Here is a 19640-nt window from a genome sequence, read left to right as displayed (position 1 = left end):
AATGATTGGTTGAATCCAACAAGATAAAATTTAACTGGAATACATGTTAGGTCCTGCATTGAGCTCCAAAACTCGATTGCAAAAGTATAGGATGTGGTTGGAAAACATGTCCAATCTCACTCATAATCAAAGAAATGAAAATTAAGGCAACCATGAAATAATCATTTCCCCTTATCAGATTGGCAATGATTAAAAAGAATGAAAATTCCCCATGTTGGTGGGTAAGCTGTGGGGAAACAGGCTCTCTTGTAAATTGCTGGTGGGCGTACAAGCAAAAAATCATCCATTCTGGAGGGTAATCTGGAAATATATAGCACAAACTATAAAATGCACCATTTGTCCCAGAAGTTTCATTTATAGAAATGTATCCAAAGGCAAATATGAAGAGATTTATGTACAAGAATATTCATAAAAGCATCGTTAAGAAAAGAAAAAAAACACCTTTTTTGTTGGGGGAAGGTGTTCAATTTGTGAACAGAAGACTTGGAGGCCTCATAAGGGTGGCCCAGAGCCCAGGGCCATCGGCCATCGTCAAATATTTAACGCCGTAAAGAGGAGGAACTGGGTCTGTGTAGCTCCTGAAGGCCAGACCAGGACTTACAAGAGATAGATTTGGCCTAGTGTTACAAAGCAGATTCTAACAATTAATTCCGTCCAAAATTAGGATGGGCTGTCTAGTGCATTCCCAATCACTGGCAGATGGCCCTCTGTCAAGGGTGTGGAGGAGGACAGTCAGAGTTTTTTAGCCATTGGGATAAAATGCTTGTCTTGGTTTCTTCCAAGACAAAGAGCAGCCTTTGTTGCATGAAACCATCAAAACGTACAGTCATAAGCTGGGTGTGGTGACGCATGCCTGTAGTCCCAGCTACAGGCTAAGGTGGGGGCATCACTTGAGCCCAGGAGTTCGAGGCTGCAGTGAACTATGACTGCTCCTGTGAAGAGCCACTGCACCCAGCCTGGGCGACAGACCCTAGCTCTTAAAAAAAAAAAAAGCCAGGCACAGTGGCTCATGCCTGTAATCCCAGCACTTTGGGAGGCCAAGGCAGAAGGACTGCTTGAGCCCAGGAGGTTGAGACCAGCCAGGGCAACATAGTGAGACCCTGTCTCTACAAGGAATAAAAAAATTAGCTGGGGGTGGTGTTGCAGGCCAGTAGTCCCAACAACTAGGGAGGCTGAGGCGGGAGGATCACTTGAGCCCAGGAGGTCCAGGCTGCAGTGAGCTGCAGTTGTACCACTGCACTCCAGCCTGGGGGACCGAGCAAGACTCTGTCTCAAAAGAAAAGAAGAAAACAAAAGGTAGAGTTGAAGGGAGGTGGGAGCTCACATCAGGTTCCACTTCCAGACACTGAATTCCAGGAACGAAATGAGAAACCTTTCCGCTGCCCAACAGTACTCTTACTGAGCGCCTGCAGGAGGCGAACTCCCATCCCCTACCCGTACCCTAAATCTTTTAGGAGTAGCTCTGTGTATCAGCACCCTGACAGTAAACTAAAGGGGGGCTTTCAGCTGAATCTGAAGAAAATAAATAAAAGATGAGTGCTCCTTCTCTCAGATCGTTTCCACTGTACTTGGGCTTCTGGAAGACGACACATGGAGTCAGTGCCTCCCTGCTCCAGCTACTTCTTTCCTCTTTTGCATGAGTCCCATCTAAGACCTTCCAGGACAAGTAGCGACCACATCTGATTAAACTGCACTATATCCAGCACCACCAAATACAGACTCTTCAGTACTTTTGGGTGCTTATCCTAGTGTTCTCCGTATCACTTATTTATTAAGCCCTTCTTGGCCTCTTTTTCATTCGGTCCTCCCATCAACCATGTCAGGTGGCCATTATGAAAAACATTAACCAGTAACCCTCTACGGAGCCCTTACTAGGAGATGCCATGCACTGTGTCACCATCACACTAGCTCTGGAGCTAAGGGGAGCCTCCCTCCAACCCATCTGTGGCCAGAGTAACCTTTCCATTACAGCAGGGGTCCCAAACCCCCAGCACACAGACCGGAAGCAGTCCATAGCCTGTTAGGAACTGGGCCACACAGCAGGAGGCGAGCATTATCGCCTGAGCTCCACCTCCTGTCAGATCAGCAACAGCCTCAGATTCTCATAGGGGCACGAACCCTATTGTGAACTATGCATACCAGGGATCTAGGCTGCACACTCCTTATAAGAATCTAATGCCTGATGATCCTGAGGTGGACCAGTTTCATCCTGAAACCAACCTCCCCGGCCCTGGTGTGTGGAAGAATTGTCTCCTATGAAACCAGTCCCTGGTGCCAAAAAGGTTGGGGACCGCTGCATTACAGAACTCTTACCACATCACTCCCAATCACTCCCAACAACAGTTCTAGGTGGCTCCTCACCCTCAACTCCCAGTGTAACTCCCACCAAGACCCCTCACTCTGAGCTCAAGCCACACGGGCCTTCCACTTCCTCTAACTTAACACAGTGCTTCCAGCCACAGGGTTTCTGCACGTCCGCTTCTCTCTCCCTGAAAGGTTCCTCTTGTTCCACAGCTCCTTTCTATGCATCCTTTGAATTTTAAACAATGTCATGGGCTGAACTGAGTGCCCCACCACTCATATGTTGAAGCCTTAACCCCCAGGACTTAAGAAAGTGAGTGTATTTGGCCTTTAACAAGATAGTTATGTTCAAATGAGGCCACTGGAATGGGCCCTAATCCAGTCTGACTGACGTCCTTACAAGAGCTTAGGACACTGGGCCGAGCATGGTGGCTCACACCTGTAGTCTCAGCACTTTGGGAGACTGAGGTGGGTGGATCACCTAAGGTCAGGAGTTCAAGACCAGCCTGGGCAACATGATGAAACCCCGTCTCTACTAAAAATACGAAAATTAGTTGGGCGTGGTGGCCCATGCCTGTAATCCCAGCTACTTGGGAGGCTGAGGCAGGAGAACCACTTGAACCTGGGAGATGGAGGTTGCAGTGAGCCAAGATCCCACCACTGCACTCTAGCCTAGGCAACAGAGTGAGACTCCGTCTCAAAAAAAAAAAAAAAAAAAAAAAAAGGCCAGGTGTGGTGGCTCATGCCTGTAATCCCAGCACTTTGGGAGGCCAAGGCAGGGGGATCACAAGGTTGGGAGTTTGAGACCAGCCTGATCAACATGGTGAAACCCCATCTCTACTAAAAACACAAAAATTAGCCAGGCATGGTGGCGTGCACCTGTAGTCCCAGCTACTCAGGAGGCTGAGGCAGAAGAATTGTTTGAACCTGGGAGGTGGAGGTTGCAGTGAGCTGAGATCCCACCACTGCACTCCAGCCTGGGCAACAGAGTGAGACTCTGTCTTCAAAAAACAGATTAGGACACTGGAGAGACACCAGCAGCAAGCGTGTGCAGGCACACAGAGAGAAGATCATGTATGTGAGGACACAGAGAGAAAGTGGTTATCTGCAAGTCAAGAAGAGAGGCTAAGGGAGAAACCAAACCTGCTGACACCTTCAGCCTGGATTTCTGCCCCCCAGAACCATGAGAAAACAAACATCTGCTGTTTAAATCCCTCCATCTGTGGCATTTTGTTATGGCAGCCTAAGCGGACTTGGACAGTGAAGTCGCCCTCTCAGGGAAGTTCTTTCCCAGCCTGCCTCTTCAGCATGATCTGCTTTTCCTTCATCACTTATCACAATTTATGAAGAATGTCTTATTTGGGTGACTGCATGACTACTGTCTATAGCCCCTTTCTCAGCATACAGACTCCAGGGGAGCGAGGGGACATTCAGGTTCTCCATTGCATCTCCAGGAGCTATGCTATGTTTGCTGGTCATCTAGGGGTGTTCAATATTGTCAAACGAAAGCCTTAGGTATTATTTTGTCCACAATAGAAATGAGGAAACTGAGGCTCAGGAAGGTTAAATAAATGTCTTAAAGACCACAAAGTATGGCCAGGTGCGGTGGCTCACACCTGTAATCCCAGCCCTTTTTTTTTTTTTTTTTTTTTTTGAGACGGAATCTCGTTCTGTTGCCCAGGCTGGAGTGCAGTGGTGTGATCTGCAACCTCTGCCTCCCAGGTTCAAGCAACTCTCCTGCCTCAGCCTCCTGGATAGCTGGTACTATATAGGTGCCCGCCACCACGCCCGATTAATTTTAGTATTTTTAGTAGAGACGAGGTTTCACCACATTAGCCAGGGTGGTCTCGAACTCCTGACCGCAGGTGATCCACTTGCCTCGGCTTCCCAAAGAATCCCAGCACTTTGAGAGGCCAAAGCAGATGAACCACCTGAGACCAGGGGTTCAAGACCAGCCTGGCCAACATAGCAAAACCCCGTCTCTACTAAAAATACAAAAATTAGCCAGGTGTGGTGGTGGGCGCCTGTAGTCCCAGCTACTTGGGAGGCTGAGGCAGGAGAATCTCTTGAACCCGGGAGGCGGAGGTTGCAGTGAGCCCACATGGGGCCACTGCATTCCAGCCTAGGCCACAGAGTGAGACTCCATCTCAAAAAAAAAAAAAAAAAAAAGCCACAAAGCAGCTAAGTGGTAAAGGGAGTCTGGAACCCAAGCCTCTAAAGCTCTAGCTCCTAACCATGCCTTAACCCTTGGATTCTGCAATGCACCCATTCTCTCCACAGACCTGTACTGAGCACCTATCATGTGCCACGCACTCTGTCTCAGAATTGGGGATGGAGCAATGATGAAACAAATTCCTGTCTTCATGCGGAGAGGGACATCAAATAAGATAAAGAACTAAATTAAACGGTTTATTAGAAGGTGATACATTAAATGCAATGGAGCAAAAGGAAGGGAATGGGAATGCGGGCTTGGGGGAGTCTGATTTGCAATTTAAAACCAGGAGGTTGGTGAAAGCCTTTCTCAGTGAGGAACATTTGAGCCAAGTCTTGGAGGAGGTAAGGGAGAGAGCCCTGGGGATAACTGAGGACAAGTTCCAGGCAGAGGTAAAGGCAAGTTCAGGATCCCAGAGGCAGAAGCAAGCCTGGCAGAATGGCCACTGTGGCTGGTGTTAAGTGAGAACGGAGACAAGAAAGGAAAGGTCTAGAACAGAGGCCTGGCCGTGTGGAACACTTCTAGCCATGGTAAAGGTTTGGCTTTTACTCTGAGACAGGAGGCCTGGTAGTTTTTGCACAGAGGAGGCACATGATATGACTTTTAACAGAATTACTGAGGTTGTTATGTAAACACAGACTGACGGGGTGGGAGCAGAGGAAGGACCAGCTAGGCAATTACAATAATCCAGGTGAGAGATGGGGGCTTGGTCTAAGATGCTGTTAGTGGATACCGGATTCTGGGGAAAAAAGAAAAGCCAATAGGATCTGCTGACAGATTTGACACGGGATGAAGAACTCTAAGTTTACAGCCTGAGAAGCCAGAAGGATTTTTCTTGAGGATGAATTCCAGGCTGGAGCTATAAGGAGGGGAGTCATCAGCACATAGTCTTTAAAGCCATGAAACCCGATGAAATCATCAAGAGATTAAGCGAAAAGAAAGAGAAGTCCAAGGAGCCAGTGCTGGGGGTACTGATACATTTAGAGGTCAGGAAAAAGAGGAGAGGCTAGCAAAAGAAACAGAGAAGGTGGGGCAGGGATGGAGGAGAAAAACAAGCGTGTGCACTGCCAAAAGCCAAGTGAAGAAAGTTTTGCGGAGGAGAGGGTGATAAACTGTATCAAAAATTGCTGATAGAGCAGGTAAGAGGAGGACTTGGGAGAGACTGAGTTTGGCTGGAGGGAGTTCAACAGAGTGGGAGGAGAGAGCTGGACAAAGAATATATACACTCTTCCAAGGAGTTACGGTATTCAGAAAGCGAAGGGATGGGGTGGGAGCTGGAGCCACCACAGGGTTCTCAGGAAGGGGGAAATTACATGTTTATATGCTGATGGGAACGATCCCTTCGAGAAGAAGTTAAGGCTCAAAAAGGTCAGGTTATCCCGGCACCAGTCTGGTCCAAACTCTTCTTCCCACCCCTAAACTACTGAAGTGATACATTTAAGTCTTCCCAGCCCTCCTGCCTTACACGAAATCCGATTAGGGCAGTTTGCATTTTTACTTTAATGGGGACATGTGATATTTAGCACCTTCGGTCAAGACGCCCCTCAAATAGGTTTTCGGGCTCTGCGTCCCAGCACGGCCTCCCGCGCGCTTTCGAAACGTCACCCTTGTCAGCTGTCCAGTTTTCCTCCAATCCCGCCTCGGGGGCGGGGCTGGCGCACCGTCTCTACAGCAACGCCTTAGCCAGAGGGTGCTCAGGTTTTCGGGACCGCGCGTGGCGCTCTCAGATGACGTCACACACCCGCGGCGCTTGCGTGACGTAAGCCCTGCTCAGTAAGAAGGCTCCGCAGGTCGGCAGGTAGGAAGAGCACTACCTCGCACACTGCGCATGCGCCACCTCGGGTGGCCTCAAGGTTGCTGTCGGGAGTTGGGTTTGAGGTCGGCTCCCTCTGGCTGCTGTCTCTTTAACCTGAACTAGAGAAGTCCTCCGCGATGCTGCAGTTTCCCGCTGGCTTTCTCGGAGCCACCTTGCGGGCAGATATCCGAGAATCAGAGTTCATTCTCTTCATCTTGCCCATCTCTTACCTCTGCTGGCGAGTTCTTCGTTGCATCCCAGTCTGAAAGTGCTAGTCGAACTCCCAATTTGCTGTTGCCCGCAAGCTTCCTCTAGCAGGTCATCTCCCTTCGAAACAGATGCTTTCAAATCTTGTGTCCTGGAAAGATTAGTAACCGTGCTCTTTAGCACTGGTGTTTGTAAGGGTAACCAGGCTACAACTGAGGACCTGAGAATTTCGGCTTTGAATCAAGTACTTGAGCTTTTACGTGCTAGGACCCGTGACTTTTGTTCACTGCTCGTGACTCTTTCTGTCTTCTTTCACATTTTTAGCCAGGATCCAGTTGGCCTTACTAAGTAAATGACCTCCAGAAAAATGAAGTATCGGCCAGGCGTGGTGGCTCACACCTGTTACCCCAGCACTGTGGGAGGCCGAGTTGGGCGGATCACTTGAGGCCAGCCTGGCCAACATGGTGAAACCCCGTCTCTACTAAAAATACAAAAATTAGCCAGGCGTGGTGGTGCACGCCTGTAATCCCAGCTGCTCCGGAGGCTGAGGCAGGAGAATCGCTTGAACCCGGGAGGTGGAGGTTGCAGTGAGTCGAGCTGGCACCACTGGACTTCAGCCTGACCGACGGTGAGACTCCGGCTCAAAAGAAACAAAAACAAACAAACAAACAAAGAAAAATAAAGTATCACTGTTCTAAAACTTAGAATTCCTTTACGTATTCATTGGCTGACATTGATTAAGCACCTATGCTTTTTTTTTTTTTTTTTTTTTTTGAGACAGAGTCTTGCTCTGTCAACCAGGCTGGAGTGCAATGGCGAGATCTCGGCTCACTGCAACCTCTGCCTCCCGGGTTCAAGCAATTCTCCTGCCTCAGCCTCCCGAGTAGCTGGGACTACAAGCACCCATTCTTTCCTGGATACTGTGCTGAACCTGGGGGCTACAGTGAGGATGACATCTGTCTCTGACATCATGGCACATTTAGGTGGTTAATTCAAGAAACATTGAAGTCCCACCTGTTTGCTAGGTACAGTTTAGATTATAAATGCTCATTGAAAGAATGAAGTGTGAACTAAGATCTAGCATGAGGCTGGGATTCGGTTTGAATTGAACCTTGGCCCTGCTCCTTAGGCGCTGTATGAGCTGGGGTGACTTCTGAACCCTCCTGCACATCTATTTCATGATTCATAGAAATGGGCATAATAATGCCTACTTCCTTAAGGTATCATGAGAGTTAAACCTCATGCTATGGTTTGGGGAGTCTTTTGTTTCCACTTCCTTATGATTCTTCCCTTCAGAAAAATGAAAAATTAAAAACCCTGTTTTCTCCTTACGCAGAGAACACCACCACTAATGGGAAGACTGCCCCCTGACCGGCACATGGCCTCAGCATTCATCCACAGATGCTCCTCAAATTGTTTTAAAAACAGCTTTTTTTAAAAGCTGTTTGTCTATGAAGATTAAATGAGTTAATAATATAAGCAAAGCACTTTGCATGGCTACTGGGCACGGTGGTTCATGCCTGTAATTCCAGCACTTTGGGAGGCCGAAGCAGGTGGATCACCTGAGGTCAGGAGTTCAAGACCAGCCTGATCAACATGGCGAAACCCTGTCTCTATTAAAAATACAAAAAAAATAGCCGGGCATGGTGGCACGTGCCTGTAATCCCAGCTACTTGGGAGGCTAAGGCAGGAGAATCGCTTGAACCTGGGAGGCAGAGGTTGCAGTGAGCCGAGACCTCGCCGTTGCACTCCAGCCTGGTTGACAGAGCAAGACTCTGTCTCAAAAAACAAAAAAACCCCAGCTTTTGTCCAGAGGTTGCTTTTTGTGGGTCTGTACGCTGAGGCCAAGTTCTATGTAAGCAGAGCCCTCCCACCTCACCTCCAAACAATGCCTCTAAACCATCACAATCTGAAAGGAAAATAAATCCCTTTCTTCAATGGTGACCTGAAGCTAGCCAAGGACCGGGTGCTGGCAGGTGGCCTGCGAGACTGGGTCGGATCCCGGGTTACTGTCTGAGGAGGGATGCCGTGCTGTAAGGGTTGGGGAGCCAGTGTCTGGCTTCCTTGTCACCACAAGACCTGTGGTTTCCAGCTCTGTCTGCATCCAGGTCCCACTAACCAACAGCAGGAGAGAAAACAGTTGTGCACACAGGCGGACGCGCACACGCGCACCTGGCCCCCCAGACGTGCACAGCCCTCAGAGGAAGTGGAGCACCAGATGTTCTGGGTTTCCTGTTCGACGCTTCCACAGCTGGTCGAGTCTGTGGTTGTGGTTTGTCTGTCTCGGGCTCATGTGAGAGACAAAAGCTGGGCTGACGGGAAACCTCTTCTCTCGGCCCCCACTCCCCAGCTCTGACTGATTAGGAAACCTGGCAGGTCAGAAATTTCCTGAAACACCCAGAGCTGGATTCTCCCAAGAAGAAGCTGAACCCCCAACTCCCATCCCTGAGGAGCAGCCCCTGGGCTGATGATCAGGACTTACAGAACCTGGGGCGATGGAAACCTCTACAAATATCCCATTTAGAAAGACCGCCAGCCCTGCCAACAGAATGAAACGGAGGCCAGGTTGCTATGGTCTCTACTCCAATGCCTGACATTGAGCCGCTGCTGCAAAACACTCAGCACATGAAGGAATGAATGAGGAACAGAGAACTTCACCTTTGGGGGTTGGGTGTACAAGCCCCAACTGGGCCCCAAGTCCCATAAATAGCTTTGGATTCCAACATACAAGCATTTGACGCAGCGAGGTGCTGCCGACTTGCTCTGTGACTTGGAGCAAGTCATTTAGCCTCTCTGGGCCTGGTGTCCTCATCTGCAGAATGGAGATGATAATATCTACTTCACAAAGGTGTGAAGGCCCTGTGAGACACCGCATGTGGATTTCCTCGACATTGTTTGCCCATCGTAACTGCTCCAGAGAGGCTGGGCTCCCTTTTCTCGTTGCAACACTGCTGTTTATTTCAGGAGATACTCTAAAAGGGAAGCAAGCTAAAACAAAGAACAACCAAAAACACTGATCCCGGGACAACTGCCCGGCAGGACAGCAGAGCAAGGGTACTTGGTGCTCTTCGTTGGGGGGATGTTGGGAGAAGGGGCTGGAGCCATCCCAGGGTCTCCAGGCTCTGGAAGGGAGCACCCCATGTCCTCCTCTGGGTGTGGAATAGGGTGAGTGTCTTAGGGGTGGAGAGAGAACAGGCAGAGTGTGCTCTCACCCCTTAGCTCTGTAGTGATTTTAATGATTAAGGCTACTGTTCGGTCTGCATTTGGACCTGAGCAACAGGGACCCCTGCCCAGAGGTCCATCCTTCAGCAGCGTGCACTGCATCCCCCTCCACTGCAGCTGACTCTATGAGATGAAGCATCTGTCGCTCAGTGTAGCCATCAGGTCCACTGCCCCTGAAATATGACTGACTAGGTTCAAATGTTGACTCTGACACTTAGAAGCTGTGCCACCTTGGGGCAAGTTACTTCATCTCTCTGTGCCTTACTTTCTTCCTTTATAAAATGGGTAAAATAATAACCACACCATCGGTTGTCTATGAAGATTAAATGAGTTGATAATATATGCAAAGCACTTAGCATGGCTACTGGCACAAGGGTCAGTAAACGTTAACTGTTCCACACATGAATGTGTTTGATTCTTATAATGCCCCATGGGTAGATTCTGTTATTAGCTCTGTTTTACACATGAGAAAACTTAGGCACAGGAGGTAAAGTAACATTTGCAAGGTCACACCGTTAAGTAGCAAGGCTGAGGCTTTACTCCAGTTCTTTTTTTTTTTTTTTTTTTTGAGGCATCTCACCAGGCTGGAGTGCAGTGGCACAATCTCAGCTCACTGCAACCTCTGCCTCCCGGGCTCAAGCAATTCTCCTGCCTCAGCCTCCCGAGTAGCTGGGATTACAGGTGTGCACCACCATGCCCGGCTAATTTTTGTATTTTTAGTAGATACGGAGTTTCGTCATGTTGGCCAGGCTGGTCTCGAACTCCTGACCTCAGGCGATCCACCTGCCTTGGCCTCCCAAAGTGCTGGGATTACAGGCATGAGCCACCACACCTGGCCTCCAGTTCTTTCTGACTCTGGTATGTGTGGCTTCACACTTACCCCCAGTTGCATTTTTTTTTCTCTCCTGGGAGTCCTCCACCACCTTCACCCCACCCCCACCCCATCCCACCCCCACCCCATTGATGCTAAGCCTCTCCCTGCTGTCCAGGATCTCACCACCTGCAACCTCCAGCTGGATTTGCCTTTTCAGTTCAAGGTCTTGACTCTTGACTGATGTTTCCCCGCAAAAGCTGACATTGCAGAGTGACTTCGTACAAGCCATTGTTCCTGGCTGGGAATCACCCGAGTTCATTCATGAGAAGGTCCCGAGTGATCTAGGACTGTTTGTATTTTTACCCAAAGAAATGAGTCTTTTGGGATAATTTCAGGCACAAAGAGCAGTCTGGCAGGGGAGACATTTTTTATTTGTTGCTTTAGTTGGGGAAGTAAGCCTTTGGCTCACCTCTAAATTCCCACTGCTCCCCTCCCACTGTAGAAAGCTGGCAGGATGGTTGGAAGCAATGTGGGGCAAGGATTCTCAAACTCAGCATAATTATGGCCTGAGGAACTTAAAAAATGCACATTCCCAGGTCCTGGCTTTCAGTCTCTGAACTACATTTTTTTTTTTTTTGAGACAGAGTCTCATTCTGTCATCCAGGCTGGAGTGCAGTGGCGTGATCTCAGCTCACTGCAACCTCTGCCTCTCAGCTTCAAGCGACTCTTGTGCCTCAGCCTCCCAAGTAGGTGGGGCTACAGGTATGCACTGCCACGCCTAGCTAATTTTTGTATTTTTAGTAGAGATAGGGATTTTGTCATGTTGGCCAGCCTGGTGTCGAACTTCTGGCCTCGAGTGATCTGCCTGCCTCGGCCTCCCAAAGTGTTGGGATTACAGGTGTGAGCCACCGTACCTGGCCAGAACTACATTTTGAGAAATACTGGTTTTTGTGGCAAGAGACACAGACCTAGGTTCAAGTACTATAATTAGCTGTGTGACCTTGAATGTGATCCTTCTGAGCTGCAATGCTCTTAGCTTTAAAACAGGAATTAAGCCTATCTCCTCCACCTCATGGGAGATCATCAGCAAACGTGCTTCATGCCTGTTAAATGCCTTGGCATGTGGAAGAGTGCCATTTTTATACTAGTGCCAACCATGTGCTGTAGAGAAATACAAAGGAAGGCACAGACCTGGTCCCAAGCTCAGAGAGAAATTCCTTAAATCTTTGGGGCTGGATGTAAACTCATCGGCACTATTTTGAGTGAAGGCTATTGGCCAGAGTGGAAGGAAGTGTTTTCTATCTCATGCATGCTGGTGCCTCCCAGTGAACAACACAGCAAAGTCTACAGAGCGTGTCAGGAGCTTGAATCAGGTGTGCCAGGCAACGCTATGGTAACAAACAGCCCCTGGGTCTCAGTGGCTGAGCCCAGCGAAAGCTTACTTCTTGCTCATGTTGTCTGTCCCAGCAGGTCGGCAGGCAGTTGCAGTTCTCTTCCACAGACTCACTCAGGGACCCAGGCTGACGGAAGTTCCATCAGCTGTAGCTGCACCATCTGGGACACACGGCCTCCATGGCTGCGGCAGCTGGGAAACAGACCCTGGAGAAGGGCGCACCAGCTTTTTACTGCCTCAGCCTGGAAATGACACGTATCACTTCTGCTCAATTTCATCGGCCAAAGCTAGCCATATGGCACAGCTGGGAAACCCAGGGGAGTCAACGGTCTGTGTAGTGAACATTATTGTTTCTGCCACAGAAAACTTCCAAGAGTAGGGAGATGAGAGAGCTTGCGGTTCAGATTTCCAGTTTGGGCACAAAGACGGATGTCTCCTAGAGAGAAAGGGATGGGAGAGTCCTCTGTGGAGTGGCTTCTGTTCCCTACATCCCAGAGAGGCTCAGCTTTTCTGGCCGATGGAGTGCAGTTTTATTTGTTTGAGAATATGTTTTGTTTTCTTCCTTTTTCTCGTTCTTGCTTACCCTCAAAACATGGGAAGAAAAGCTGTCTGACTCAAACAGCCAGCAGTCTGGTCCGGGCCCCCTAAGATGGAGAGGCGCCATTTCCCAGCAGGCCAAGAAATGCCCCGGGAGCTCCAAGGGTTCTGTGGGTCCCGGGATGAGAGGCTGACACAGCCAAGAAGACCCAGGGTGAGGCTGAGCGGAGGCTGAGGCGGCATGCCTGGCCGCCCACACTGCCATCCGTCCTAGCGCTCTGTGCAGAGCACGGCTGAAAACTCCCCAGGTATCTTTGGAAATGAAGAACACTGGGTTGGCACCCGGCAATTTGGGACAGCAGCTTTTCTGGAGCGCACAGCTTGGGAATAAGCCTGAAGAAATCTTTCATTCCTAGAGCGTTGGTGGATAAATGGTACTTATTTGTTTAACCTCAAATCAAGCCGCAGCCCCCATTTCTGGGGCTGCTTTGCGAGGGTTGTTTTAAAATAGCTGAACAAGCTGAAAATCACGGGTCTAGGTTGCTGGAATGGCTTTGCAGAGAGCAGCCGGGCTTAGGAAGTTCTTTAATTTTCCATAGAATGTGACTGGCAGTGGTTGGGGGTTGGGGTCGGGGGTAGGGGGAGGGAGGTGAGCTGTCGGAGAGGAACAAAGCCTGGGCCCTTCTTCTAGAAGGGTCCGTATTGGCTGAACAATCTCTGCAGTGGATTCAACCTGGTCTGGTCCCCTTGGGGGTTTGGGGTGGGATGTTATCTTGGAGGACTCCTTCCTGAGGTCTGCTGCAGGTGGCTTTGAATTCAGCAGAGTGAAGTTCCTCGGTTATTCCTGTCTGACTGGGGTCAATTTCCTCTTTTATTAACGGAACAGCTCTTTCCTCAGGAGAACCTATTTCATGGATTTAGGTAGGACTGACTCGGTAGTGTACATAACTGTTTAATGGCCAGCTGGGGGCAGGCAGAGGGGACAGGGAGGAAAGCCTTGATTTGTAGCATTTGCCAATTTCCATGGTGTAAATACTCCCCCACTACCAGCTTCAAGCTACAGACATAACATCACTGAGACGTCACTGACCTTGGACTCGGGAACAGATGAGCACACCCAGCTCTCACAAACACATCCCCGGTGCTGATTTTACCCCATCCAGGGCTGGGCACATGACCCAAAGCTGCCCTATGGGAGTTCCTCAGGGCCATCAGAGGAGACTGCTCCTTTTCTTAGGCATTGCTAAATAGAATGTTAGTTGGGGACTGCCAGCAGCCATCTTGCCAGCTCTAGAGAGAGAATTTGGTTGAGAGGGGGAGAAAGGGCACCCATGACATCCTCTGAACCCCTGAAGCCAGCCATACCTGAAGCTGGTGTATTCCTGGACTTTCCAACTACACACATCTCTAGCCCCTCTTCTTTGCCTAAGTAGTGTGGGCTGAGTTTCTGCCACCTGCCAATAAAATGCCAAGAATAAAAAAAATGGGTCACCCATTCAAGGAAGCCAATCTAATAGATCTGGCTTTATCTTGATTGTGGTGGTTTCCCAGGCATATGCAACTGGTAACATTCACTAAGTTGTACACTTTCCGTTACTGCAGCTTCTTGTAAGTAAATTCTAGCTCAATAAAACTGTTAAACATATAAAAAACATATTTGGGCTGTGTGTACTGGGGAGTGTGTGGATTTTTCTATATCAGTTCTGCCAAGCAGAGGGCCAGGTAGGAAAAGAAAATGAAACTAGAAGAACTGTTGTACCACCAACATCAACCACCAATATCTGCTTCGACCTATACTGAGATTTTTATCCACTCATGAACTTACCACCTGGGACTTTTTTTTTTTTTTTTTTGGTCACCCAGGCTGGAGTGCAGTGGTGCGATCTCAGCTCACTGCAACTTCCGCCTCCCGGGTTCATGCCATTCTCCAGCCTCAGTCTCCCAGGTAGCTGGGACTACAGGCACCTGCCACCACGCCTGGCTAATTTTTTTGTATTTTTAGTAGAGATGGGGTTTCACTGTGTTAGTCAGGATGGTCTCAAACTCCTGACCTCGTGATCCACCCGCCTCGGCCTCCCAAAAGTGCTGGGATTACAGGCAGGAGCCACGGCGCCCGGCCTGCCACCTGGGACTTCTTAGAGAAGAAACAGATGAAGAAGGAAAGCAGTACCTCCCCTGGGAGTGGGAGAAGCAGAATCTTCCCAAGGTGAGGCTGGGTGTCGCTCCCCCTGCAAGCCTTGGAAACCAGCCAGAGTTACCATCATCCTTTATCCATTGAAGTCAGCCTCGCAGAGCAACAATGCTGAACCGTGCAGAAGTGGCAGCCCAGCAAAGTTTCTGTAGCCTGGCTTTCTTTGAGAAGGTGATGAAACTAACCTGACATTAATCCATTCTGCCTTTCTTTCTTTGGGGCCTGAGGACAGGAGAGTGCTTGTAATCCCAGCACTTTGGGAGGCCAAGGCAGGTGGATCACCTGAGGTCAGGAGTTCAAGACCAGCCTGGCCAACCCCATGGGCAAAACCCTATCTCTACTAAAAGTACAAAACTTAGCCGAGTGTGGTGGTGCGTGCCTGTAGTCTCAGCTACTTGGAAGGCTGAGGCGTGAGAATTGCTTGAACCCGGGAGGTGGAGGTTGCAGTGAGTCGAGATCGCACAACTGCACTCCAGCCTGGGTGACAAAGTGAGGCTCCATCTCAAAAAAAAAAAAAAAAAAAAAAAAAAAAAGGGGGTGGTAGGCAACCTACCTCAGGCTGAGTCCTCAGTCCCTACCTTTTCTGGTGCAGGGCTCGGAGGCTCCTGGCCTACTTCTCCCCTCCTCCAGAATTGCTTATGGGTATGCCTGGGTGCCCGGGACAACATGGCATCTTCTACTGCCAACTTAGTTCCCAATGGAGTTGTGAAATATTGACATTAGCAGCTGCTGCTTTCCTATGAGACCATTGGAGCATCCACCCCATGCCTGGCTTTACAAGCACGAGCTCAAAGGAGCTCTAGAGGTAATTCTAGAGGTAAGTCACAATTCTAGAGGTGAGTTTTCTGGTAATTCCCATTACACAGATGAGGCAGGTGACATGCAGGGAGGTCAAGTTACTTGCCCAGGACCACACAGCTCAGAAGCGGCATTGCTGAGCCTCAAACTCAAGTCTGTCTGGCCCCGAACCTGATTTTCCTGCTTGTATAGCATGTAAAACAGAGAGAACTGCATTTATCTTTCTCACCCAGCGGCACTGAATTCATAATCATCAGTGCCAGCTGGGCGTGGTGGCTCACGCCTGTAATCCTAGCACTTTGGGAGGCTGAGGTGGGTGGATCACCTGAGGTCAGGAGTTCAAGACCAGCCTGGCCAAATGGCAAAACCCTGTCTCTACTAAAAATACAAAAATCAGCCGGGTGTGGTGGTGCATGCCTGTAATCTCAGCTACTTAGGAGACTGAGGAAGGAGAATCACTTGAACCTGGGAGGTGGAGGTTGCAGTGAGCTGAGATCCTGCCACTGCGCTCCAGGCTGCGCGACGGGAGTGAGACTCCATTAAAAAAAAAAAAAAAAAATCAGTGCCAAAAGTTCCAAGTAAGGTGAGCTCAGCAGACAGCATTTTAAACACCTGTGGCCAGCGGAGGGGCCCTTGAGCACTGTGGTCAGGGTGGAGTTTTCCCGCTGACTGCACAGGTGCCCTCTTCATACCGTCCTCCCCCAAGCCCTGGGGAGACAGCTGGGGAACAGAGCTGGGCAGCCCAACTGCCATGGGCCACATCACCTAGGGACCAGCCCACAGCTCTGCAGGGGTGGCCAGGTGTATGTGATGTCCTTGGCTGCAGGCACCACTCCCAGTGTGGCAAGAGCACTGGGCCAGGCCAGGGCAGGGCCTCAGCCCAGTCTTCCCACGTGAACTTCTCAGATGCCTGCCTGGCCCCAAAGAGAGGAGGGCAGGGCCATCAAGACATCACACTGCTGGGCATGGTGGCTCACGCCTGTAATCCCAGCACTTTGTGAGACCGAGGTGGGCGGATCACCTGAGGTCGGGAGTTCGAGACCAGCCTGACCAACATGGAGAAACCCCATCTCTACTAAAAATACAAAATTAGCAGGGCATGGTGGTGTATGTCTGTAATCCTAGCTACTTGGGAGGCTGAGGCAGGAGAATTGCTTGAACCCAGGAGGTGGAGGTTGTGGTGAGCCAAGATTGTGCCACTGTACTCCAGCCTGGAACAACAAGAGCAAAACTCTGTCTCCAAAAAAAAAAAAAAAAAAAAAAAAAAAAGACATCACACCACCATTTGGATCTCCTGCAGGATGGGCACAGGTGTGGCTCCTGTGCCGGAGTCACTGTGGTCACACCCATTTCTGATCTCCTGAAGCTTCTGCCGGAATTATCTGCTTTTCTACCTGCCAAGGGACTACTCCAGGAAAAGACCCTCTTTGGCTGAGATTTTAGCTGGATTCCCGGAGCACTGGTTTTGTCTGATTGGGTGGACTGGTGGGGGCCAGGGGACTGTTGGAAGAGGGGATGTAGTTGGGGGAGGGGTCCTAGGAAGACACTGTACAGACAGGGGTGCCAGGGATGGTGGGGCTGGCTCTGCTCCTAGATTGAAGGGAGTGGGCTTAGTGGGAAAGACGACTCTGAGGGCTGGGGAGAGAGATGCTGATGGGAAGAGGGAAAAGCACCGAAGTCATTCCATCAAAGAACCAGAGCCAGAGAGTTACCACCTGGTTACAAAAGTTATTAAGCGACCCAAGCGGCAGGAAGTCGACCAAGGCTGGTAGGTGGTGGGGTGGGGGAGGCGAGGGGTCCCAGGAAGCTGCCCCAGTTTGGGGATGAGTGTCTGGGTGTGTCTGTGACTGGCAGGAAGCGGAGCAGAGCCTCCTCGGCCGCTGGGTTTGGGCTTCTGTGTCTGTGGGGTACAGACAGCAGCTGCAGGTTGCTGGGTCCCCGGGGCCCCAGAGGCTGTCCTGGTGGTGATGGGGATGGGTGGAGAGCTAGGATGACAGTTATTTCCTTAAGGGCACTTTTCTCAGTAAATGGAATTGTTGTATGGATGACTCTGGAACAAGAATCAACTCCGCGAGGCTTTGTTCGGGCCTCTGGATGCTGAAGCGAGACATCTGAGGGTCTCCAATAATGAGGCTACTGAAGCTCTTCCAGTGGTGAGGCATTTTCCATCCGTGTGACCTGCACAGTGCTTAGCATGTCCAGCCCTTAGCATGTATTAGGTCACTTGGTCGTCCAGCACTCCCGTGATGGAGGCACCACTCCTGCACACAGGGAAACTGAGGTTCGGAATCCAGTCTGGGAGAAGGTGGTGGAGGGTGGAACCGGGATTTGGACCTGGGTCTTTCTTCTCAGCTTATGTTCCTAAGCAGCCACCCTGCCCCCATGGAGGGGACGAGAGTTGCAGCAGGGTCTGCAGCCACAGGGGGAGGTGGATGCCCGGGGCCCTCACCCTAGATGTTGGGCAGCGGCTACCCCTCCGGCCAAGCCCTCGGCCCTTTGCCAACCAGCTGCTCCGGGTTGACCAGGAGTGTCTCCTTCTCTGCCCCTCTGCGTGGGTCAGTAAGGGCATGGCTCTTCTGAGCAACTGGAGGAGTGTGAATGTGAGCGAGTGAGTGTGAGCATGTGAAGATGGAGGAGTGTGTGTGAGCGTGTGTGTGGTGCGTACGAATGTATGAGCATGCATATGTGTGTGGGAGTCTTGCTCCCTCTCTGATCCAACCAGGACACATAGCGGCCATGGGGTTAGCTGGCCTTCGGGGCATGGCGGCCTTCCTGGGGCTGGGACAGATGACGGAGTCACTGCGGGAAAGTGGAAACTGGAGAGGGTGTGGGAAGGAGGCTGTGGCTGAGGGAGGCACAGGGAGCATGGGGTGGGAAATGGGTGTGGGAAAGGTGAGGTACCCTGGAGACTTGCGGGGCAACCAAGAGGTGAGATGAGTGAAAGGTCAAGAAACTTTGGAAATACTCGAGTCACTGAAAAATAAAGGGGGAGGGAATCTTGTCTCATGTCCCCAGGGATGCACCGGGGACACGTTAAGCATGTGCCCTTCTGGAACTGTCCCCACCCACCCTCAGCCTGCGTCTCACTGCTTTCCGCCTTCCGGGTTACCCTGGATGGGGCCTCACTGCCAAGCCAGGACACCATGCCCCCTGCCCTGGCCCATGCCTTCCCTCACCCAGCTTGCCAAAACCCTGCCCATCTTTGAAGATGCGGTTTATGCCTCACCTCCTTCGAGAAGCCATGCAAAGTGTTTCTCCTGCCTGGTCCAAGCTGCTCATTTGCACAGATCTTGACTCTCAACTATACTGGGGAGTCTCTCACGACTTCACCCTCCTGTCCAATGGGGCCAGGCTAGGCTCCAGGTCAACACCATTGTTGATGGTGAAAGCCATGTGTGTGGGTGGGACGTCGGGGGCGGGAGAGATCGCACCCCCTGCCCCGTCCTCAATGAAGCCTCATTCCCATTTTTCTTTAAATATAATAACATTTGGGGCTGGGCGCAGTGTCTCACACCTGTAATCCCAGCACTTTGGGAGGCTGAGGCGGGCAGATCACCTAAGGACAGGAGTTTGAGACCAGCCTGGCCAACATGGTGAAACCCCGTCTCTACTAAAAATACAAAATTAGGTGGGCATGGTGGCTGGCGCCTGTAATCCCAGCTACTTGGGAGGCTGAGGCAAGAAAATCGCTTGAATCTGGGAGGCAGAGCTTGCAGTGAGCTGAGACTGGGCCACTGCACTCCAGCCTGGGTGACAGCAAGATTCCGTTTCAAAAACAAACAAACAACAACAACAAAACCCACCACTACCACCACCACCACCAGAAACATTTGGCAGGATTAAAGATGGGCATTTTGGACTTAGACTAACTTGGGTTCAAGTTCACTCTCCTGCTTAGTGTGTGGCAACCTTTCATGCTGTAATCCCACATTTGGAAATATGAGCATTTGACTTAAGATAATCTAATCATCTCAAAAGATGAAAGAATGGCCGGGCACAGTGACTCATGCCTGTAATCCCAGCAGTTTGGGAGGCCGAGGCAGACAGATCACTTGAGGGAAGGAGTTCAAGACCAGCCTGGCCAACATGGCAAAACCCCATCTCTACTAAAAATACAAAAATTAGCAAGGCGAGGTGGCAGTCGCCTGTAATCCCAGCTACTCGGGAAGC

General features: G+C 50.4%; 1 long non-coding RNA gene across 2 annotated transcripts, besides 6 other annotated features; it reads left to right on the top strand.

Moving 5' to 3' along the window:
- Positions 5992-6081: an enhancer, noted in NCBI's record as "active region_128". NCBI's record gives its function as "activates an Ori minimal core promoter by ATAC-STARR-seq in GM12878 lymphoblastoid cells {active_cell/tissue: GM12878}" and the evidence as "EXISTENCE:reporter gene assay evidence [ECO:0000049][PMID:35858748]".
- Positions 6142-6371: an enhancer, noted in NCBI's record as "active region_127". NCBI's record gives its function as "activates an Ori minimal core promoter by ATAC-STARR-seq in GM12878 lymphoblastoid cells {active_cell/tissue: GM12878}" and the evidence as "EXISTENCE:reporter gene assay evidence [ECO:0000049][PMID:35858748]".
- On the top strand, positions 6237-10139 carry LINC02606 (long intergenic non-protein coding RNA 2606). 2 transcript variants are annotated; one of them, NR_104622.2, is given in 2 exon segments: positions 6237-6311; positions 7852-10139. It is a non-coding gene; the product is annotated as a long intergenic non-protein coding RNA 2606 (long non-coding RNA).
- Positions 6870-7504: an enhancer, noted in NCBI's record as "H3K27ac-H3K4me1 hESC enhancer chr1:9487788-9488422 (GRCh37/hg19 assembly coordinates)". NCBI's record gives its function as "activates a minimal SCP1, AML or CMV promoter by ChIP-STARR-seq in primed H9 embryonic stem cells {active_cell/tissue: H9 hESC(primed)}" and the evidence as "EXISTENCE:reporter gene assay evidence [ECO:0000049][PMID:30033119]".
- Positions 8890-8939: an enhancer, noted in NCBI's record as "active region_126". NCBI's record gives its function as "activates an Ori minimal core promoter by ATAC-STARR-seq in GM12878 lymphoblastoid cells {active_cell/tissue: GM12878}" and the evidence as "EXISTENCE:reporter gene assay evidence [ECO:0000049][PMID:35858748]".
- Positions 17245-17324: an enhancer, noted in NCBI's record as "active region_125". NCBI's record gives its function as "activates an Ori minimal core promoter by ATAC-STARR-seq in GM12878 lymphoblastoid cells {active_cell/tissue: GM12878}" and the evidence as "EXISTENCE:reporter gene assay evidence [ECO:0000049][PMID:35858748]".
- Positions 17675-18175: an enhancer, noted in NCBI's record as "H3K4me1 hESC enhancer chr1:9477117-9477617 (GRCh37/hg19 assembly coordinates)". NCBI's record gives its function as "activates a minimal SCP1, AML or CMV promoter by ChIP-STARR-seq in naive H9 embryonic stem cells {active_cell/tissue: H9 hESC(naive)}" and the evidence as "EXISTENCE:reporter gene assay evidence [ECO:0000049][PMID:30033119]".

The sequence above is a fragment of the Homo sapiens genome, chromosome 1, assembly GCF_000001405.40.
Source record: "Homo sapiens chromosome 1, GRCh38.p14 Primary Assembly".
Classification (NCBI taxonomy): domain Eukaryota; kingdom Metazoa; phylum Chordata; class Mammalia; order Primates; family Hominidae; genus Homo; species Homo sapiens.
The sequence above is the reverse complement of the archived record's forward strand: the minus strand, read 5'-3'. Positions and strand labels throughout refer to the sequence as shown.